The sequence below is a fragment of the Homo sapiens genome, chromosome 9 (assembly GCF_000001405.40).
Source record: "Homo sapiens chromosome 9, GRCh38.p14 Primary Assembly".
In the NCBI taxonomy this organism is placed as follows: Eukaryota; Metazoa; Chordata; class Mammalia; order Primates; family Hominidae; genus Homo; species Homo sapiens.
Genome location: NC_000009.12, coordinates 84466118 through 84490425, shown reverse-complemented (window position 1 = coordinate 84490425; position 24308 = coordinate 84466118). Strand labels below are relative to the sequence as shown.

General features: G+C 42.4%; 1 long non-coding RNA gene across 12 annotated transcripts in view; it reads right to left on the bottom strand.

Moving 5' to 3' along the window:
• LOC102724036 (uncharacterized) overlaps positions 1-24308 on the bottom strand; it is a 247231-nt gene that overhangs the window by 166606 nt on the left and 56317 nt on the right. The window contains exon 1 of one of the 12 annotated variants that reach the window (XR_007061627.1): positions 22276-22965. The exons of the other annotated variants lie outside the window; for them this stretch is intronic. This is a non-coding gene — a long non-coding RNA (uncharacterized LOC102724036). Of the gene's footprint in view, positions 1-22275; positions 22966-24308 lie in introns of those variants that run through there. 12 annotated transcript variants of the gene reach the window in all.

Here is a 24308-nt window from a genome sequence, read left to right as displayed (position 1 = left end):
AGGCCAGTTGAACAAGTAACTCAGCATTCCCAACACCAAACCACTAAACCAGCTAAAAGAGAATGTGGTTGACACCTGCTAATGACCAAATCCAATTCACTTATCATGTGTACCATCAGGGTACTGGGACCCCTCCAAGCAATTCCCTTAAACCTTTTCTAATTAAAAATTATTATGGCCAGCTGCCTGTAACAACAGGCTCACGCCTGTAATCCCAGCACTTTGGGAGGCCAAGGCGGGTGGATCACGAGGTCAGGAGTTCAAGGCCAGCCTGGCCAACATAGTGAAACCCCGTCTCTACTAAAAATACAAAAAAAAAAAAAAAATTAGCCAGGCATGGTGGCAGGCGCCTGTAGTCCCAGCTACTTGGGAGGTTGAGGCAGGAGAATCACTTGGACCTGGGAGGTGAAGACTGCAGTGAGCCGAGATCGCGCCACTGCTCTCCAGCCTGGGTAACACGGCAAGACTCTGTCTCAAAAAAAAAAAAAAAAAATTGTTTAGAAAAATTCTGCTTATTGGAAGATAATTAAGGAGGTAGAACTCACAATACTTGGTTTTGACGGAATGTGAGAAAAGGTGAAGTTAAAGATGACCCCTAGATTTCTGGGTACCGTTTACCAAGACTGAGGACAGTGAAGGAGGAACAGACCTCATGGGTTCCCCCTTTGCCTCCACCTACTTTTTCCATCCCTTAAATTTGTTCTTCCCTAGTGTTCTCTTTTTGCTATTTCTCCCCGAGACCCCCGAGGTCTTTATTTGGTCTGTGTTTCTTTTTTGACACCCCAATCTCAAAGGCCTCATCTACTCTCTCCCACGCACACACCCATCAACAGCCTGCCCAAGATCCCAGATGTGCATCACACTTAGCTTATCATCTTTCCCTCAAAACCTACTCTACTTTACTTAATCTTCCACTTAATAGAATCCAATCTGTTATCTACCTGTTCACTAAAGAGAGAGACCTGGAAGTCACCAGAGAGTGTATTCTCTCTCCTAGCCCCACATAGAATCAACCACCAAATCCAAGTTTTACACTTCATTGCACCTCTAATATCTACCTCTCTCTGCTCCCACATGATCCATTATTGCTCACCTGAGTTGCTGCAGTTTCCTCCTTGTGTGTTATCTATCTCCACTGTTGTTGACCTACCTCTGCACCCCCCATGCCCTTCCCCATACTACATCTAAAAGAGATATTTCTAAAGCACAAATCAAATCATGTCATTCCTTGTTCACCACTCTCCAGTGGTGGTCATGGTGGTCATTCAAGGCCTTCCATGGCCCACCCTACCCACCTTTCCAACCTCATCTCTTGATGCTTGCTCAACATACTTGGCATTCTTGTCACCTGGCAATGTCACCACTCTGAATAAAATTATGGACCAAACGGTCACCTCAGGCATGCTATATTGCTTTTAGTTCATTGAGCCCTCAGGGAGTGAATCTGTCTACAAATTCAGGGCTTTTTTTGAGTCCTTAGCATAGTCACTGTTGAAAAGATGAAATTCTTCATCAGCAAGGCTTTGTGCAGTGGCTTTTCTATGAACAGTGTTCCCTAGATGTTCTGGGAAGGTTTACAGAACATAAAATGATAAAGTGTGTTTACTTTTGAGGGCCCAGAAAACACCTTTAACTTCTTATTTCCTATACTACCACTGCCTTTTCTTGTAGTCAAGAAGTAGAAAGGGCCATTGAATCCTGTAATAGGAGCAACATTTATCCATATGGTGTTAAGTGGTTCCTGATAAACATTTGGAAATAACTATCGTTATTGAGCACCTGCTGGCTTGTTTATTCCTCACCTCCATCCCAGGAGTTTGGTGTTATTGTCCCATTTTACAGATAACGAATAAAGGTTTCATCCATTTGGTGACATCCATTAAAGGCAACTGTAGACTCCACAAGGTCAATAAGTATTGTGTATCTACGTCACCATTTCTGAAACATGGTACTCAAATAAGTGCATATTGGATGAGCAAACAAATGATTGAAGCAAATAGCTAGTGAATGTAGAGCTGGTGTCAAAACCCAGGGTGATCTGACCACAGAGTGGTGGCTCGATGCTCGTAAGGGAAAACCCAGCATAGAAGAACATTCTGTTCAGGAGATGTCAACCAAGCTCCTCTTTGTCTGATCTCTCTGTGCTTTCTGTGTGTGGTTTGAAAAGACTAAGGGGGAAAATCTGACCAATCTCATAACAGTGCTAGGAAGAACATTTAGGAAATGTTAATGAAACCCTGTAAATATATAATACTACAAAATAAACTGTTTCTTTGTGAATGTGGAATAGGCATGCTTTTTTTGAAAATAAGGGAACATATGACTGAAATACCTCTGCTTTATTTCACATTACTCTTATCATTCCAGGTCACCCTTACCAATTGTGTGGTAATGGGAATAGAAGTGATTCTTATGTTACCTCCAGAGGGGTTGTTACCAGGTCACATAGCTCCACACGTGTCTGATAGATTTACACTGAACACTCCTTGTGGGAAAAATTACATTCACTAAAATGAGGTGAACTAGGTCCAGGTTTAGACATTACCTATTAAACAAAATCTATTACACTGTCAAGGACACTAAATTGTTTAATTCAATATTTTAAGTGTGAGAAGTTAATGTTGGTGGAAGAGTTAGGCACCTTTTACATTTATCACTCTAAAGACAAAGATATGAAAATGTCTACACCATTAGCTACATAATAGCTTCAAATGCTTTATCCCAGTAACCATAAATTGGCTAAATTATGAAACCACAATTAAGAGTAATTATCCATGAAGTAGTCAGGTAGATGCAGAAACCCCAAGGAGTACCTTGGTAATATATCAGCTCACAACCTAAGTCAGCCTGAATAGTGATGGACTCACCAGTTTTATACCCCTCTAATAACGTTTCATAAACCATCAAGAAATAGTTTGTGACAATGAACAAAGGAAAATTGCAAGATGCTAATCCAAAACCTATGTCCATCTAAAACGAGAGGTGCAAAATACTCCAGAAATGATGTTTTCCTTGTAAATTAGCACGGATGACATGAAACTCCACTTATTTTCAAAGTCATTTGTTTACAAAACTATTTTGTAAGCCTTAGATTTTAAAAAGATTTTGTATCTTCAGATTTTGATAGATAAGCCAGTATTTTTAAGTTGATTAAAGCTAGCTGATTTTAGAATATACAGTGGTTCTATTTGTAATGTTTTGAGGAGTCTTTATACTGTTTTCCCCTATGGCTGTACCAATTAGTGCAATCCCACAGTTGAATAATCCCACTTATCCAAAGTAAATGAAATCAGTATCTCAAAGAGATATCTGTACCTTCGTGTTTGTCACAGAGCTATTCACAATAACCAAGATATGGAAACAACCTACATGTTCATCAGTGGATAAATGGATAAAGAAAATGTACACACACACACACACATACACACTGGAATTATTCAGCCATAAAAATGGCAGACATAAAAAATGTCTGCCATTTGAGACAATGTAAATGAGCCTGGAGGACACTATGCTAAGTGAAATAAGCCAGGCACAGAAAGACAAATACTGTGTGATCTCACTCATCTGTGGAAACTAAAAATGTCATAGTCATAGAAACAGAGAATAGAATTGTGGTTGCCAGAAGCTGCAGGAATGGGAGACATGGGGAGATGTTAATCAAAGGGTACAAACTTTAAGTTATAAGGTGATCTAAGGCACAGCATGGGTAGCATGTTAATTAATTCGATTGTGATAATTGTTACACAGTATATACATATATTAAACCATCATTGTACACCTTAAATATACACAATCATTGTCAATAATTAAATATTAAATAAATACTTTAAAATTGAAAATGAAATGAAAATAGATGCCAGGACAGTGGCTCATGCCTGTAATCCCAGCATTTTGGGAGGCCGAGGCAGGTGGATCACCTGAGGTCAGGAGTTCGAGACAAGCCTGGATAACATGGCAAAACCCTGTCTTTACTAAAAATACAAAAATTAGCTGGGCTTGGTGATGGACTCCTGTAATCCCAGCTACTCAGGAGGCAGAGACAGGAGAATCACTTGAACCCTAGAAGTGGAGGTTGCAGTGAGCTGAGATCGTGCCACTGCACTCCAGCCTGGGTGACAAGAGCAAAACTCCGTCTCAAAAAAAAAAAAAAAAAAAAAAGAAAGAAAAAAATAGAAGCCAGCTTACTCCTAGCATATTTCTTTGGATCATTATTTCCAAAGCTCTCCCTTCAAGGTCTGTCACATTTATCCTTCTTTTTTCCATAACAATTACTCCACATCAAATCCAAATAGTGACCACTCAATAAATATTTGTTGAATGAATACATGAATGAACAAATGAATGAACTGCAGACCGTACATAGACCTCACAAGATACAAGCAATTTTCCAACTTCCCATTCTTTCTCAGTTCTCATCCATCCTGTAGCCTTGCCAAGCTAGTCCTGCCCCAAACATCACTCTCCATGCATCCATGCACCAGCCTCTTACTGAAGAACTACCAACTCTAAAGTAATTGGTTTAACAGTGAGAATCCTCCCTTACTTAGTTCCAGCTGACTAGACTTGGCCATCTTTGCTTACATTGGTCCCCTTCCTGGGAATGAGCTGTCTGTTCAGTTTCCGAGATGGCAGGGCTTCCCAACAGGTCAGAACACAAATATAGCCTAGGGCCACTCCCATTACACCAGGTTGTTCATTCCAAAGGCCAACAGTGAGGTCCGGAAACAAACAGCTAGAAACATGTTGACATTTGATTAACACAGCTGCACTGAAGTGCTCTGAGATTTTGGTAGCAATAAGTATTTATCTAAGTGCTTGTCAAACTTTAATAGGTGCAGGAATCACCTAAGAGTCTGAGATTCTGCATTTCTAGTAAACTCCCTGGAGATGATAACGATACTGACCCATGGATCACACTCTGAGTACCAAGGCTCTAGAATAGGAATTACTAGACTTGGCTGCACAATGGTATTATCTGGAGCATTAAAAATACTAGTAGCTGGGCCAGGTGTGGTGGCTCACACCTGTAATCCTAGCACTTTGGGAGGCCCAGGCAGGAGGATCCCTTGAGCTCAGGAGTTTAAGACCTGCATAACGTTGGGAGACCCTGTCTCGAGAAAAAGAGAGAGAGAGAGAGAGAAAGGAAGGAAGGAAGGAAAGAGGGAAAGAAATTAAAAAAAATACTAGTGGCTGAAACCAATCCAAGAGATTGTGATCTAATTGGTCTGGAGTACAGCCTAGGCATCAACATTTTTAAAACTCTTTCAATAATTCTAGTGTGTAACCAACACTGAGAACCACTGCCCAAGACGAACGTTTCTCCATCTTTTTTTTTTCATTATTTTTCCCTTAGGAGGCTTTTTAGACATTTTTATCCCTAAATACCCTCAAATTTTACCATTACAGATATACTGTATATCCATGTGTTGTACACATACCTTTGATTTATATCAAAAAAATTATTTAAAAGATTTTGCTCTCTGAGAACCAATTTCATCCTCTTGGGGGTGACATTGCTCCCATTGAGAACATACGCTTTAGAGTCTAAAGTTATACATGGTCTAAAATTTCAACTATGCCTAAGGCCTGGTTTTGCCCAAGCATCCACATGTCAGTCTCCACACAAATCCCCTCCAGTGGAGGCAGCAGTTCTCAGCCCCAAAGAGCCAGGCTGGAGAGAAACCACAGGAAGGTGGTCAGATCGATGCATCTGCAACCCCTGCATCCTAAGCCATGATTGGCTACAAGGCCTGAAATTCCTTTGTGCTTTCCAGGACCTCATTGGAGGCAGCCACAAAGGACAGTGTATATCCTGTCCAATCCAAACAAGTAAACTATGGTGTTTGCCAGCCTATCCCTACTTGTGTTCACAGCCAAGCCTTTCTTTAGACTGCCCAATAGCAACATCTGCCTGGAGACAAATGGGTTCTCCATCACTGCCTAAAGCAAAATGTCTACGGGAGACACTTTAATATATGTACTAATTCCTAACACTTGCTCAGGTTACACAGTAACTCGTATACATAGTGGCAGTATGGGTCACAGCTATGGGCGTGGGAAACAGCATTGCAGTCTAAAGGCCGAAGAAGCTGAACTCCAATCCAGGTGTAAAGTCCTGACTATGGGAAAGGCAGATGAAAATGTGGTAACAAAAGGGAAAAAAGATGGGTAAAGAGAAAGGGAAGGAGAAAGAAGTTAACATAATTGCGTGTCTACTCTGTGCCACGTGGTGTGTGAACACTCTTTTATCTAATCCAGGCTCCAGGAGCCCAGGAAAGAGAGGTATTATTGTCCCCACTGCACACACACAAGTCCTGAGATACTGAAACGGCCCCAGGTCCACTCCTAGAAAGTGAGAGAGCCAGCATTTAAATTCTTGTCTTTCCAACTCCAAAGCCATGCATGCTGCCCTCCCAGCCTCATGAAACACACACACACACACACACACACACACACACACACACACACACAAATGAACCACCCACAACAAAAGACAGCCTTCCAGAGATTAAACCAGGAAGCTCAAGGTGACTTTGCCATGACAGCAGGAACCCCGGCTCCTGCAGCAGCTCCAAAATATAAGTCAGGCTGAAATGGATATTCGAAATCAGCAAGAGGCCATCTGTAATCAAGACCTTCGCACAGCATGGATTTAAGCAACTAAATCCAGGAAAGCACCAGAAGTCGTGAAGAAGGGTGAAGAAGTGAGGACTGAGGACTGGTCTGCATCTAACCTTAAATAGTCAGAAAAATGGGGGCCCTGCATGGTCTGAGGACACAAAGACACCAGAAACCATGGAGGACAGAAAGGAGGCAGTGATGGTGGAAAGAATTCCAGGAAGTGGGCCTGGCGCAGTGGCTCACACCTGTAATCCTAACACTTTGGGAGGCTGAGGCAGGCGGATCACGAGATCAGGAGATCGAGACCATCCTGGCCAACATGGTGAAACCCCGTCTCTACCAAAAATACAAACATTAGCTGAGTGTGGTGGTGCACGCCTGTAATCCCAGCTACTCTGCAGGCTGAGGCAGGAGAATCGCTTGAACCAGGGAGGCAGAGGATGCAGTGAGCTGAGATCACACCACTGCACTCCAGCCTGGCAACAGAGTGAGACTCCGTCTCAAAAAAAAAGAAAAAGAAAAAAAAAGAAAGAACTCCAGGAAATGGAAAAATGAACAGCCCCAGAAGAAAGTAACTTACTTGCCTTGAGAAAATAGCGCCCCCGGGCCCACAGGTCCTCTGCTCCACGGGGGCCCTTCTGACCTCAAGGTAGGGAGTAGGAGAAAGAGAACAAAATGCTGAGCAAAGCCTAGGGATTCTAAAAATAAGATTCTCTCCTCAGGAAAAGAGGAAGACACAACTTCTCTACCCCCACCCCAGACCTAATGCCTGACCTCACCAGAGAAGCCCCTTTCTCCCTCTCTGTGGGGCAAAACTAAAGCAGCCTCACATACTCCGGAATGAATGGAAGGAGGCCTAACAACCTGAGAGTCCTCATGTGCACACAGGGACACAGAACCCACCATAAATATGATCATTCACATCCGCCTTTATCCAGGACAGGATCTGCTTCTTTTTCTTTGTCTAAACAGTGCAGCCTGAAACCCATCTAACGCCGTGACAGATCACCCCTGGGTGAATTACAGGGCTGACCCACACATCTTTCGTAGGGGCTGCAGAGGAAATCCAAGACGTTAACCATTTGTCTTACCGTCACCAACTGCGCTACTAACTACAGTCTCCCCCAGCTCCCTGCAGGTCCAGAGTGAGGGAGACCACATCCTGTGGAAGCCCACTACATCAAGTTATTTCTCAAAATATATGTTTTTGGGAAAAGGAAAAATTCCTGAATAATACACTGAAAGCCAAAGGCCCCTGAACCTTTCCGTTCATAACCACCTGCAGCTGGAAATCACCCAGGACATAAGAGCGGCTCCAGGTAGGGAAGAAACACTGGTATCCAACAACTTACTTTAAGGCTTAATGGATTTCACTGCCTAAAAGGTTAATGATGCTTTTCAGGGCCTACGAGAGACTCTGGCCATAAGAGGAAAAATAAAGATCCACTATGTAAAAGTTATCTCCCTCAAGGAATTCGTTCAGATTATTGCAAAAGTATTTTTAAATTGCTGGAGAGACTAAGTGCAGATTTATCTCCAATGCCTCCCCAGGGTCAGGCATCTGGCACGTTTGGTGATTAGATTTAACCAGTCTGCAGGGCAGAGAGAAGGGAATTGTCTCTGTTTAAGGGATGAGGAAGAGCATTCCCGTCCCATTCCTCGCTTTGCAACATTGACCATATTCCTACATTGATTTAGCTCCTCCAACTAACCAGTTGATTTCCAGTCAACATGTTTGTTAAAATATTGAGCAAGAATTGGCAGCATCTGACAATGCTGGCCCTGGCAGAAGAATCCCCACATGATGTTTTGGCAAGAGCAGTTCAAAGGACTCTTCTGAACTGGCACCACAAAGGTTTGCATTCCCAGGAGTAGTGAAGCAGAAATCATTTGATTATTTGCTGAGTATTTACCCAAGCACAATTACACTCGATAGGCAGATGAATTCCAAGAGATAAACTTTGAGTCTCTCACTAAAGCCGAGAGAAACATATCTGCGCATTTTGGCTAGAGACGATCTGCCAGTGGAAACCCATCTCTGTTTGGCTTAAGGAAGGCTGTGCAGTAAGACCAACTTAGGGGGCTTGCTCAGTGGGGAGCTGTGTGTCTCAGCCACAAAGATCAAGGTCGACGATGTTCAGGCAGGTCAAGATAGTAGCAAATACCTGGAGAAGTAACCCACTTCAACATAAAGAAAGAAAGAAAGGGAGAGAGGAAGAAAGCAAGGGAAAGAGAAAGAAAGAGAAAAGGGAAATAAAAGAAATGAAGAAGAAAGAAGTCCAATACATTCTTACTCGTCTGAACTAGTGAACATTCCCCAAATTCTCCATTCTGCTAATTCACTGAGCAATTATGCAAATTCCCTGGATAGCTGTCATACATTCTTCATCTCCTCTCCCTCTCATCCTCCGCGGAAAAGCTAATTAAATTAACATTGCAGGATAGCATGTAGAAAGTGCTACCACATTTTGTAAAAGAGGTGGGCATAAACATATATAGTATTTGCTTATATTTTCATGGATACCCATGCAACCAAACTGGAAGTAAACACAAGTAACTGCAACAGTGATTGCCCCTGGGTGAGGTACAAGGCAATTTGGGGTGGGAGGGGGCAAAGTTGGAACCAAGATTCTTCCTTGGGTATCTGTTACACATTTTGATATTTGAACCATGTGAACATGCTGCCTATCCAAAAAATTAAATAAATAGGTGGAAATGTAAAAAGCAAATTATTGGCCGGGCACAGTGGCTCACACCTGTAATCCCAGCACTTTGGGAGGCCAAAGCAGGCAGATCACTTGAGGTTAGGAGTTTAAGACCAGCCTGACCAACATGGTGAAACCCTATCTCTACTAAAACTACAAAAATTAACTGGGCGTGGTGGCGCATGCCTGTAATCCCAGCTACTCAGGAGGCTGAGGCAAGAGAATCACTTGAACCTGGGAGGCGGAGGTTGCACTGAGCTAAGATCGCACCACTGTACTCTAGCCCAGGTGACAGAGCGAGACTCCATCTCAGAAACAAAGCAAAACAACAACAACAAAAAAGCAAATTATTTCAATGGCAGCTAGCAGAAGCCCAGCCATGCTTACATCAGATTTGGAAAGGAGGGAGGGGGGAGACCCCACTAGGATTTCCTCTTTTCCTTCATTCCACCCCTCACCTTTCCCCTTCCTCTTTTCACCAAGCCTGGGTTTTTGATTTTGCAAGTAACTGGAACATCCCAAAACTCAGCAGAAGTTGAGACTGTGACAGCTGCCGGGTCCTTAGAGCAATAAATGGTATAGAAGTCCTAAAACTGAAACCTAAAAGCAGAGAAAATCTAAACTTTTCCATCAAGGCTAGGAACAGAGACACGTAGCAGCAAGACACGCTGGAGGATCTTAGAAAGGCAGCAGGTAGGAGCATCTGCTCTGCAACTAGACAACCTGGATTCCAGGCTTAGAGGTGATTCTCCTCATTGAGCCTCAGTTTCCTCCTTTACGAAGCTAACAGAGTGAAGGCCCAAAGAGGAGGTGCAGAGACAGCCGCGGCGTGGGGCCCGGGCAAGGGAAGGTGCTCACGATGTCAGCAGCCCTTATTCTTCTACTTCACCACAGCCCATGGCTGCCACTGGAAGCATGCTTTCGTTCTGACAGCAACAAAGTATGGGGGTGAAGAAGACTAGCCATGAGGCTAAGACCTCAGAGCACTGTAAGTGTTCTTTGGACATTTTGAGGTGATCAATTTCTGCACTTCAGGGGTTGCACAACAGAGAAGGGAAAACCTGGCTTTGAAACCGGAAATCCCAGCTCCTTTCACTTAACTAATTGTGTGACATCAGACAAATGGTTTAATCTCTCCACTCCTGGGTTTCTTCATCTGCTAAATAGGACACCAGGATCTACCCTACAGGAGGATGGGACAGTGGGATGTTGTGATCCAGCCCCTACCACAGATTTGGCTCCCTTCTGGGGAGAACTATTAATTCAAATGGGAACCTAGAGGTGATGGTGACAGACCAAGGTCCAAATAAAGAGTAACTTCTTCCATCCAATACTTTGTTAGCATTACTATTATTAATTTTATGTTCTTTGCCATAACATGGAAGCAATGATTTGCTGTTATTTATATTTTTTATTTGTTTTAGGCATAATATTTGTCAAAAAAAAATGCTAGAAAGAATGCCACAGGGCCAGTGTCGAACTCATGTTAGTCACTTTGCCATGGCGAGAATAGGGTTAACTATCAGCAGTATTATTCCAAGTCCTCAGGGACCTTGAGAAACCCCTTATAGAGGACCTAGTATATTTGAAACTTGGAGCAGATCATTTTCTAACACCTCCTTCTCCATAGAACAAAATTACTTTCAATTATAATAATGTTCTATGAGTGATAATCGTTATTTTTGATGTTTGTTCTTTAGTTTTAAAATAATCACCAGGCACAGTTGCTCATGCATGTAATCCCAGCACTTTGGGAGGCCAAGGCAGGTGGATCACTTAAGGCAAGGAGTTCAAGACTAGCCTGGCCATCATGGTGAAACCCCGTCTATACTAAAAATACAAAAATTAGCTGGGCGTGGTGGTGCATGCTTGTAGGCCCAGCTACACGGGAAGCTGAGGCAAGAGGATGACTTAAGCCAAGGAGGTAGAGGTTACAGTGAGCCAAGATTGCATCACTGCATTCCAGCCTGGGCAACAGAGACTCTTTCTAAAAAAAATAATAATAATAAAGAGAGTGACAAGATCCATACTCCAAACCTCAGCATCACACAATATTCCCATGTTACACATCTGTATATGTACCTCCCATATCTAAAATAGAAGTTGAAATTAAAAAAAAATAAAAATAAAAAGCAAAACAATTAATTTAAAAAGAAGAAATTTCTATTTTAAATATATTATTTAAAATGTGGTAACCTGGCCGGGCGTGGTGGCTCAGGCCTGTAATCCCAGCACTTTGGGAGGTCGAGGAGGGCAGATAACCTAAGGTCATGAGTTCCAGACCAGCCTGGACAACATGGTGAAACCCCGTCTCTACTAAAAATACAAAAATTAGCCGGGTGTCATGGCGGGTGCCTGTAATCCCAGCTACTTGGGAGGCTGAAGCAGGAGAATCGCTTGAACCTGGGAGCAGAGGTTGCAGTGAGCCAAGACTGCACCATTGCACTCTAGCCTGGGCAAAAAGAACGAAACTCTGCCTCAAAAAAATAAAAAATAAAAAAAAATTAAATGTAGTAACCTATTTCATTTATGAACTAATATTTGCACTTACCAAACAAAAATGTTATGCCTTGGATTTACTCTTTGAAGCTTCAGAAACAAATAACAACTCTAAGTAGTCACATAGCAGGACAGAATTAAAATAACTCACATTCTGGGTTTTTGTCTTTATAGTCACTGGAATGTCATTGTTTACTTCAAATCTACCTACGGTTTAAACATGGAAATATGCAGTGTCACAGGGATTGGAGACATGTTGTGATCCCAAAGCGAGCTTGAACAACTCTGGGGCATTCTTCATTTTTTCTCAAATAAAATGTGTAGCTGAGTCCATGCGCATTGGAGGTCCACTATGGGACAAAGAAGGCTCCAAATTAACGTCCATGTAGAATACTACCTTTATTACAGAATAAAAAATTTAAATATGCTAATTTGAAGCTGATATATACATTAGTAAGTTTCAATGGTAATTCTGATAATTTTTAAAAATATAGACCAACCAAAAGTTTGTTTAGGTACAAATCTTTGATCACCAACCTGGTGTAGAATTGCCCACACACAGTGATAATAGAAAGCAAACTGACTTTTAGTTGGTTTTATGGTTTTTAAATTCTCTATGGACATCACCCCCACCCAAGGCAGACAGCTCTCACCCATACACAGCCCAGCACATTCGCTCATTCATCAACCCAGCTGCTATGGCTCCAACTTCCAACCTCAGCACACAGGAAGTAGAGATTCACGTTTATCAAAAAAGCCTCTATTGATGAAGCTATCCCTATAGCTCTCTTTTTGCATTTCAGGCCATTTGGCCTTGGGATTGATTTATAGGAGATCTAAGACAATTTTATTGCAATATGGAACAAACAAGGTGTCCCCAGGGGAAAGCTGGCTGGTTGGCTAGCAGTGGAGGGCTTACTCAGGATAACACTAGGTTGATGAGTTTATCACAGCTCAAGTTCATTCCACAGCCTTGCAAGTCTAGAAACTGCAATTTCTCACTATTCCCAAAGGAAGTCAAATACATACAAAATGGTTAGTGTATCCATTTACAGTGGGAAACATGGCATTCCCATAACTAGAGGACTAATTCCCCTATCTGGCTCTTTCTCTGCAGTGGACCTTTGTTGCCCTCTCTGTATTTGGAGACTTTGCCCTTCATGAGTGACATCTCCCAAGGTAGAGTCGAAGAGGATGCTTTCTCAGACTCCCTGAAAGCTAGGGTAAAGCCATGTGACCTGGATTTTTCCAATGAGATATATCCACATGAGATTTTGGCCTAGCACTGTGCAGAATCTGATTTTTTTAAGAGGATGGCACTGAAGGTGATTTTAAAGCAGCAGTGGCCAATGATTGGGTATGTACTTTCCAACACTGATATAGTTTGGATGTGTGTCTCCTCCAAATCTCATATTTAAATGTGATCTCCAATGTTAGAGGTGAGGCCTAGTGGGAGGTGTTTGGGCCATAGGAGCAGCTCTCTCATGAATGGTTTGGTGCTGTCTTCATTATAACTTCTCATTCTATGAATTTGCGCAAGATCTGGTTGTTTAAAACAGTCTGGCACCTCCCCCTCTCATTTCCTCTGTCACCATGTGACATGCTGGCTGCCCTTCACCTTCTACCATGATTGTAAGCTTCCTGAAGCCCTCATCAGAAGCAGATACCAACATCACACTTCCTGCACGATGTGCAGAACCATGAGCCAAAATAAACCTCTTTTCTTTATAAATTACTTGGTCTCAGATATTTCTTTATAGTAATGCAGATGGACTGATACAAGCATCAGTGGTGACCTCTACTAGTATACCTTTGACCAAGGGTGACATTCATGGGATTGTCCCTGGAGCCATCCCATCATGAGGTCTGCTACAGGCTGCAGAGCACCTAAGCATACCCTTCTGACTCTCCCAGAGATTATGTGAGCTATGAACGATCCTACAATAAACTTCATTTCAGCATCATGTAGCTGGAATGGGTTATTTCCAGTATCCCAGGTAGCCAGATAAGTAATTAGGAAGTTACAGGCACAGCATATAATGTCGGTAGATAGTACTGAGGAATATTTTGTGTGAGTCAAAGTGAGAACTGTTTATGAGACAGCACCTGTCTATGATTACCCTATGTCCCCCAGGTAGGTTTTTATCCCAGACAGTGATGTTCACGTAATGGCAGAGTTTGTGCCTCTTAACCCCACTTTTTGTGCTGTAATAAATGTGTTCTTGATGGCACTATATTAATATCACTGATTAAATGACAAGTCAGAGTTGTTCCCATGTGCTGACACTTTCCATTTAAAGTAGACTAATTTATTTCTACCTAATTCAGCAACCTTATCTATAGACTCCCATGGGCCAACTCCTCCTACTTAATTTTATGTAATTAGTCTAATTTATTTATATTTAATTAATCTACCTCATTTCTAGGTTATTTGTGGGCATCTCACTGCTACCCTCACATACCACCTATAGTTGACCTAAGTTTTTAGAGTCTTTATTTTAGACTTTTTTTTTTTTTTTTTTTTTTTTTTTGAGACGGAGTCTCTCTGTCACCCAGGCTAGAGTACAATGGCATGATCTCAGCTCACTGCAGCCTCCACCTCCTGGGTTTAAACAATTCTCGTGCCTCAGCCTCCTGAGCAGCTGGAACTGCAAGCGTGTGCCACCACACATGGCTAAGTTTTTTTTTGTTTGTTTTGTTTTTTTTTTTAGTAGAGATGGGGTTTCACCATGTTTCCCAGGCTGGTCTCAAACTCCTGACCTCAAGTGATCCACCTGTCTTGGCCTCCCAAAGTGCTGGGATTACAGGCATGAGATATACAGGATTACAGGTATTTACCAATGACCGGCCTTTTTTTTTTTTTTTTTAGACTTTTAAAAGTAAAGTAGTATCATGTGAACTAAGAACTCCTCTCAAAGCAATCAAATTTCCTCATATTCACTCTCTACCAAGTTTCACTAAAAGTTATTCAATATTATAAGAAATTATTTGGACAACTTTAAAGGCTACCATTTTATTTCAAAATAGTAGACTAAATCAAAACTCAAATGTAAGGCTTTACTACATTAGGTAAAAATTACTCATCAACTTCCTCAGATGTGACATAAATAGCACTAAAATACCAGTTGAAAGATGCTGCTGAGAAAAGGAGCTCACAACTGGTCTATCAGCTCTCAGAACTCTTGGGTGATTTCCAGACAGCCCTGACAAAGGCACAGGGATGAAAACAAGTGGCACTTAAAGTCCTCAGATTCCAAAGTTTTAGAACTATCCATGATGGGACTCTTATAATAGAACCTCTAAAATCCTGAATGTATTTAAATTATTTTGCTATCTGGTGAAAAGTTATTACCAGGAAAGGTAATGGCTGGTAGTGCAGAATGCTAATTTTCTAATACAGAGTTCTGCCAACATAGTTGTGTTTGTTGTATCATTTGTCCTTGTTCTGTTTGAGCTTCACAGGGTGAACAAAAGTTTACCTGGAAAGATGCTTTTGACAAATTCACTGCATTCAGAAGATTTGGCAGCTGTCAAAAGTTATTCCTGGGCTTTCAAACATCTTGCTATATTTTTGACAAGAAAATGTTCACTAAGCCACTTAAATCATGTACCAGGAGTAAGCCAAAAGTTTTGAGCAGAATATTCTATACTAGACCAAGATGGATCTTTCTTTAAAAGGAGAAAAATAATATACTTAAGGGTTGAAAAAGAGGTTTTCTTGTACTCACTCCCAAGAAGTAAATTTTGAATGAAAATTAAATGTTTATTCAATTTTTGTTTCACATAGCATGTTAAAAAAAGTTTTCTGGATATTAATTTTTCAAAATACAGATTGACTTAAATTACAAACTCTTAAAATCATAAACCAGCCAACCCAGCAACCTGGTAGAAGGCTGAGACATCCACTAGCTGGTGCCATCATCATAAAAGAATGTGGTGGCTGAAATGTCCTGACAACCATCATATATGAACCAGTGGTTTCCAGCCTTCACTTATTCACCTACTACTTCGGGATTTTTGTCATGTTATGCACTATATGCATTCGTATTTACTTTTTCTTTTACTATCTTTCTTTAGACCAACACACTTTTTTATACTTACATAAATTTGACTTTGCCTTAAGCATTGATATCCATGAAATCAGAGATTTGAGGTATGTGATAAAGACTAGTTAGATGCTTACCATTTTTTATTTCCTCTTCTTGGTGACACAAGAAGACCCTCTTCCTCAACCATCCTTGCATTAGGTTGGCCCCATATAACTGGATTCTGGCCAATAGACTCTTAATGGAAGTGATACTTAAACTTACAAGCCTGGCCCCTAAAACATCCTGCATGTTCTTCCTTGATCTCATTCTGGCATCTGTGTGAATAGAAACAGTGGACTCTGAGATGGCAGAGCTGGGTTCTCTTAACTGCTTAGAGAATGGATGACAATAGGGCATCCAGTCCTGCACCAGACTTCACATGAACAGCAAGTAAATTTTTATTGTGTTATGCCATTAAGATTTTGTAGTTGTGTTTGGTCCTCAAGACCACACTTTGGTGGAATGATTCAGTAAAAGGACTCACTGAACTTTAAAAAGCTGTTATGCTCACAGTTTACTACAGTGAGAGGACAAAGATTAAAATCAGCAATGGAAAAAGCACATGGGGTCTTTCCATTGGTCAGAGGCCAGGAGAGTCTAGGCGTTAAGTTTCCAGTAGCCCTTTCCCAGTTGAGTCATGTAGACAGTACTTAGTTCTCCTACCAATGATGTGTGACAACACGTGTTAAGTATTGTCAACCAGATAGTCTCACCAGAGTCTCAACATCCAGAGTTTTTATTGGGGGTTTAATAACATAGACATGGCAGATCACCCAGGTGGCTGACCTTTTCTCCATCCCCTCCAGAGGTCAAGCTGATATTGTGCTGCTCAATATCCCCACCATAAATCACATTGCTAGCATAAACTCTCTGATGGGGCCCAAGGTGTCTGGCAAACAGACACATTCTTAACAGACAAAATGTTCCAGGGACTTAAGAGATTATTTCCCAGGAGCCAGGTAAGTGCCAAAGCCTTCTTTGGAAGGGGCAGGGTTTGGACCACTCATACTTGCTTAGTTGATCCTTTACTGCATGGTGGTGTACTTGTTATACAGCAAGGCCTAATCTACCCTGACTAAAATATAATGTACTATATGTAATAATAATATATAGTGTAAATATAAATGTATATAATGTATAAGGTATAGTTGTCTAATATACATGAAAATAAATACACAATAAAAGAAATATTTATTCACATAGTTCCTGAAATTATCTTGTATAATTGAAACATCAGTATAATACTAGCAGTAGTACACATATCATACTTCAGGGAATATTGATCTGGTCCAACTCCTCAAGTTAAAATGTGAGAAAGTTAAAGAGCCCAACTCCACACTGAGTTTTGTCCAGGGGGAAAGACAGTGGCCTGGAAGGAAGGATTACTGGACAACATGGGGTCTGAGGCAACAACTTCACAGATGAGTTCTCAGCAGCTTCTCCAGTCAGGGATATCCAAGGGCTATGATAGGAAGTTCACAGGAGCTACCAACCTCTGGATCCCACCAATCCCTAGCCTCTGGGTTGTTTGGACAATCTTGGGGTACCCTGACCCAGGAGATTTACCAAGCTCAATCTGATCTTTCTCTCTCTCTCTCTCTCTCTCTCTCTCTCTCTGTGTGTGTGTGTGTGTGTGTGTGTGTATCTTCAAATCTCTTCCATGAGTATCACCTTCCTGGTTTCTCTTCCTTTACAGCACTACAGGGTGAAGGGAATACAAAGGTATGGACCTAGGGCTGTGACTTACAAACCCAGAGCTTGTAACCACCTGATGTACTCAGTTTCCATGTCTTAACATTAAATTTCAAGAGAGAAAAGTGAGAATGGCCCAGCTTGGCCCAATCAGTTGTGACTACAGGGTAGCAGGGAGGGTGGTCAAATGGCACCACCAAGAGAGATGGAGCTCCTGGGGAGCTGTGGATGGGTAGAAACCATCCATTTATCTTGTATAATAGAGAAGCATAGAATAATAGAACAAGGTTGAAAACCCATCCTCCAAGTAAACTACAGATCTTCCAGAATGTGAATCTCACCCTTCACTTATAATTTTCATTTTATCTGAACCAACCTTTTCTTCTAAGGGTCAATCCAATTACTTGGGACACATACCAGGGGCACTCTGATCCTCTATCAATCCTCAGAGGACAGATCTGAAAAGGGAGGGCTGGAAGAGCAGCAGGGTCTCAGTCCCATGGGCCATCCAAATGGCTCCTCTGTGTGGATGGCAGTTTAGAATTACAGCTCAAGGGGCCCTCAATGAGATCTGTTCACAAAGACCACAGACAGATCCCTCGTCTTCTTGCTTCTCTGGACTTGGTAGTTTGTGAAGGACTGTTACAGTTCTGCTCCCAATTTGCCCTTAAAGCCATTTTCATTTTTCAAATGTCAAGTAGTTACAAGTCTGGCCAGTGACAAACAGCATCAGGTTTTTGTTTTGTTTTAGCTCTAGCTTGCTCCATTTCAGAGTTCCCTGAGAAAGAGGAGAGATGTGTGCCAACTCACTCCTTGGAGCCAGGATAATACAGGCTCAACTCCTTATCTGAACGGATGAGAGCCAGAAGCTCTGAAATTCCAAAGAAACAAAAACATAAGATAGGCACAAAATCATTGGGCAACTAAAAAATGAGATATTTTGTACTTTTTGTGTATCACATTAGTTTGAATGTCGATATGTTTCACTGCTAAAATATTAATGGATTTGATTACAGGGTGCTACTCCAGACCCCACTGGGAGTATTAAGTACTCTATGGAATGTGTGTCATATCCTCCTCCTATACCCTACTGAATTTCAGAAACATCTGGCTTTAAACCTTTCGAATAAGGAATTGTGGACTCGTTCAATAGACACAGCAGTACCTTTGGCCCAGACAGGCAGGCCTGGATTTGAAAGCCCTCTTTAGTTCTGTGGCAAGAGGCTTCCCTTCTCTGGGCATCAGTTTCCTCCTCTGTAGAATGGAGCTAATAATGGTAACTTCCTCATGGGGAGGAGGGGAGAAGGGTAGTTGGGATTAAATGGGATAATTTATATACGGAATTTAAGACCCTCCCTGGTTCCCCAGTCCGTGCACAAAAAAGAATACTTTTCACCACATAATATCCCCATTCGTTCCACAGAACCCAGGCCAGTAATACAACAATCAAAACATGAAAGAACAGAAAACAAAAAAATCATTCCCAATAAAAGGAAGGCACAAAAGCAGAGAGTGACAGGAAAATTATCAGAAATGCCACCCTGTTTTCAATGAGTAAGGTGCTCACATGGGGCTGCACATGAAAACCAGTAATAACAAACATCTACTCTCGTAGGTATTTCTTTATGCTTCTCTTGGATTGATTTTTTTATGGTCTATTAACCGATTCTAACAACTGGTGCAATTATGTGGGTGGGTGGGTAATTTCCCTTCTCCATTGGTCCTGTCATCCTGGTAAGGGATTGGTTGTAAACACTGCCAACATTATTGACTATCAACTCCAGAATCCCACACCTTGCTTTATTATTTGTTCCCTTTTTGAGACGAACTCCTTACTTAAATACTTCACCACACTCCAGTCAACTGCAAAGGCCATAAAGCATCACAATATTTTTCCTTAATGTGAAATCTATGCATGTGAAAAGTCCAGGAACATGTAAATAGATGGGTTTAATGAACTTTGCTCAAAACTGTAGAAGGAGATCCAAAAAGCAATTGTATGCAGAATTTTAACTTCTATTTTAACAATATTTTTAATAAATTGAAGTAGCAAAAAAGAGTCTTTATGCTTTTAGTCCTCTCCAGTACAAAATAGGATTGATTCCTAGTTTCTATTTGTAGTTCTGTGCTTAAACAAAGAGAGCGTGAGGCAGTCTCCCTGGCCCTCAGGAGTGCTGGGGTCTGTTCGCCATGACTTCCACACGCACAGAATTGGGAAGACGTAGCACATGTGTGGCAATTTTGCAAATTCCACTGCCTATTTTCCAAGTATTTCTCTCCATTCATTTATTTACCCATCATTCATCCATCCATTCTTGGCCTTTTTTTCGGCCAATCACTGAACTCATGTAGGGATGCAAAAGAGAGTAAGACACAGCCCCCAAGGGTGAGACAGACAGGCTTTTCATTTAGCAGTTCATGATTAACTAGAAGAATGTTTTCTTGTTGTAATGAAAACCCCATTACCATCACTAGATCATCAACCCTGCTCTTAAGGAGATCTAATCCCTGGAGGTCCTCTTGTTGCGGACAGAGCTGGGATGGGCGTGGTTTGGCAGGGTTAGAAGCAGAGGGAGGAAGAACACCATGAATTCTGTATTATGAAGGCATGGAATGTGTGAGGTGTCCCAGAGGAACTGCAGAAAATAGAGACTGGCACCAGCAAGACCGAGCTCTAAATGGAGGAAAAGCCAGGTGCGGTGGCTCACACTTATAATCTCAGCAATTTGGGAGGCCGAGGTGGATGGATCACGAGGTCAAGAAATCGAGACCATCCTGGCCAACATGGTGAAACCCTGTCTTTACTAAAATTACAAAAAAAATTAGCTGAGCATGGTGGCGCATGCCTGTAGTCCCAGCTATTCAGGAGGCTGATGCAGGAGAATCACTTGAACCCAGGAGGTGGAGGTTGCAGTGAGCTGACATCATGCCAGTGCACTCCAGCCTGGGGACAGAGCGAGACTCCATCTCAAAAATAACAAATAAATAAATAAATAGAGGAAAATGCTCCGCACTGGAATAGCTAAATGGCTTCAAGAGAAAGGAGAGTTTCAAGGAACGGAGTCATGGCCTCCAGAATCAGAGAAGGTCCCATGGGAGAAGTGGGACTTGGGCAAAAGTTGGAAGGGATTCCAGTTATTACTGTTTTGCATTATAAGGCACCCTAAAACTGTCTTCAGAAATATATATTTGGCCAGGCACAGTGGCTCACACACAGCGCTTTGGGAAGCGAGAGGATTGCTTGAGGCCAGGAGTTCAAGACCAGCCTGAGCAGCAAAGTGAGACTCCATCCCTACAAAAAATGTTTAAAAAGTAGCCAGGCATGGTGGTGCATGCCTCTAGACCCAGCTACTTGGAAGGCTGAAGCAGGAGGATCGCTTGAGCCCGGGAGCTCAAGTTTTAGGGAGCTATAATCACAGCACTGCACGTGAGCCTGGGTGACAGAGCTAGAACCTGTCTCTAAATACATATACATATATATATACATATATATATGTATATGTATATATATGTGTGTATATATATATATATTTTTTTTTATTGTTGCTCACAATTTGTGCATGTCAGGAATTCAGGAAAAACTTGGTGAGGTGGTTTTGGCTCAGGGTAGTTTACTGACTGGAGTTGGAACACTGTGGGTTAAAGGAGAGGGGCCAGGAGTAGCCTGTGAATGGCCTGTCATCTCTTTCTTCTTGGAGCTTCTCCATGTGGTCTCTCCAAGTGGGATAGTTTGAGCTTCCTTGCAACATGGCAGCTATAGGGCAATTGGACTGCTTTATGATGGCACTGGGCTACAGAACAAGTCTACATTTCTAGTGCACAGGATATAAGCTGCATTGCTTTTCATTCCCTAACCTTGAAATCATGCAGCATCATTTTTAACATATTCTATTAGAAAGACATCATAAGCCTGCCTAGATCCAAGGAGAAGGGAACTGGACCTTAATGCATAATGAGGGGTAGCAAAATTCTAAAGAGCAAGAGGGATAGGAGCTATTGTCATGGGCACCTTTGGAAAATACAATCTGTCTCACAGTGAAAAAGGTTGGGGGTTGAGAAACCTGATTATACCTGAATACCTGTGTGCTGCTTGTTCCTGCAGCCAACCTAAAAGCTCTGCCCTAGTCCCACTAAATGAGAAATCAGCACTTTCCCCAGCAGTCTCTGTGGTGGTACACCTGGAACCACTGTCAACAAGCTGCAGACCCTTCTCTCCTCACCTCTAAGCACCTCTGAGTCCCACTCTGCTCACCTTCCCCCACTGCCTGACACTGACACGATGGCCTTTTGCATGCTGTCTTAGTTTCCAGGGCCTGCTGTATCAAAACCCACAGGCTGATTGGCTTCAAACAACAGAAATGTATTTTCTCACAGTTCTGGAGACCCAAAGTCTGAAATCAAGGTGTCAGTAGGGCCAGGTTCCATCTGAAGCTTCTAGGGAAGAATCTTTCCCTCCCCTTCCCACCTCCCCATGGTTGCTGGCAGTCTTTGGCATTCCTCGGCCTAGAGCTTTGGCACTTCAACCTCTGCCTCTGTCACCACAAGGTCTTCTTCCCCCTTCTCAGGACACCAGTCACTAGATCAGAGCCCCCCGTCTCAGTAAGTTCAGGCTGCTATAACAAAACACCATAAACGGGGTGGCTTACAGACAACAGAAATTTACTGCTCACAGTTCTGGGAGCTGGGAAGTCCAACATCAAGATGGTGAGAGATCCAGTGTCTGGCGAGGGCCCACCACACAGACAGCAGTTTTTTCGCTGTAACCTCACTTGGTGGAAGGAGTGAATGAGTGGCCTCGTGCCTCTTTCATAAGGGCATTGATCTCATTCCTGGGGGCTTCACTCTGATGACCTAATCACCTCCTGAAGGCCCCAACTCCAATGACTATCACCTTGGGAGTTAGGATTTCAACATATGAATTTGGGGGGACATAAACATTCAGACCATAGCACCACTGTAATCCAGTATGATCTCATAAAGACCCTATTTCCAAGTAAGATCATCAGGTGCCAGGGGCTAGGACTAGAACATATCTTTTGGGGAAACACCACTCAACCCACATGCTTGCCAATGGGTCATGGAAGCCCTGGAGTCACCACGAGGCTTCAGGACTGTTACTCCCTCCCAGACTCAGTCTCTTCCCCCTTGCAGCAGAGCTCCAAGCCCTCCCATTCGGCAGGCCTTCTCTCCTTAATGAGACTCTTAGTGACACACAGTTTGGCAAGAACTACGTCCATGTCTCTGCCACCATCTCTGCTGCATTGCAACCCCTCTGCAGCACTAGTGTGTGCATTCACACACACGCCACACACACCCCCACACACGCCACACACATGCCACAAACACACCACATACACACCACACACACAGCACACATGCCACACACACGCCACACACACACCACACACACCCACACACACACCACACACACGCCACACACCACACACCACACGCACAGCACACACACCAGAGCACACACACACCACACACCCCCCACACACACACCCCCCACACACACCCCCCACACACACACCACACACACACACCACATACACACACCACATACACACCACCTGACTCCTGACCACAGAAAATGGTGTTCAGAGCCACACACAGGGGATTATTGATTTTCTCTTCTCTCAGCTTTTCATTAGTGCCCACAATTGCTTTTGTTCCACTGGCTTCCTTTACCTAGCTTTTTAAAAAATGAGATGTGTTAATATTCTCAGGCTGGTGCTGCTGTAAAGTTTAAAAAAGAAAATGAAACGAAATGTGTTAGCAGAAGGAGCCCAACTTTTTTCTAAGAACTGAACAGAGCTCTTCAGAATGCCAGTTCACCTTTTTTTAGGCTTGTCCATCCACAGGGCCTTTCAAGAGTCCAAATGCAGACCTCTTCCTAACGGCCTCTTCAATTACAGTAAAAGGTGAGAGTTCAGTGGAAGAAACACTCACCTACATTTTGCAGGCTTCAATCTGAGAGAGAAATAAAGCTAAACACCCAGCTTGTGGGAGTCCCTGTGTTGATGAATGACAGCCTCACCACATTGAGAGAGACTAGACTATAAAGTGCCACATTTCGACTCTTATCTGAAGGAAACCACCTGTCCCTTGTTCTATTCTGTTCTGAGACATGAATACAATTTTAAAATCACCCACATTTAGGCCGGGTGCAGTGGCTCACACCTGTTATCCCAGCACTAAGGGAGGCCGAGGTGGGAGGATCACTTAAGGACAGGAATTCAAGATCAGCCTGAGCTACATAGTGAGACCCCCGTCTCTACCAAAAAAAAAAAAAAAATGTAATCAGCCAGGTGTGGTGGTGCACCCCTGTAGTACTAGCTACTCCAGAGGCTGAGGCAGGATGATCAGATCACGTGAGCCCAGGAGTTCAAGACTGCAATGGACTATGGTCATGCCATTGCACTCCAGCCTAGGTGACAGTGAGACATTGTCTCTATTTAAAAAAAAAAAAAAAAAAAAAACCCTCACATTTAAATTTGTTCACACACGTGCTTAAACCAAAAAGCTCTATAAGAAAGGATTCAGCAATTCTTAATTAGACCTCATTATATAAAATGTGTGTGTGTATAAGCGTGTGTTTATATTTATACACACATTATGGCTGATATCCTGAAATAAACTCATTACAGAACATTTTTTCCTGCACATGTAATGACTATCCCATCTTAAATTTGCAAAAGTA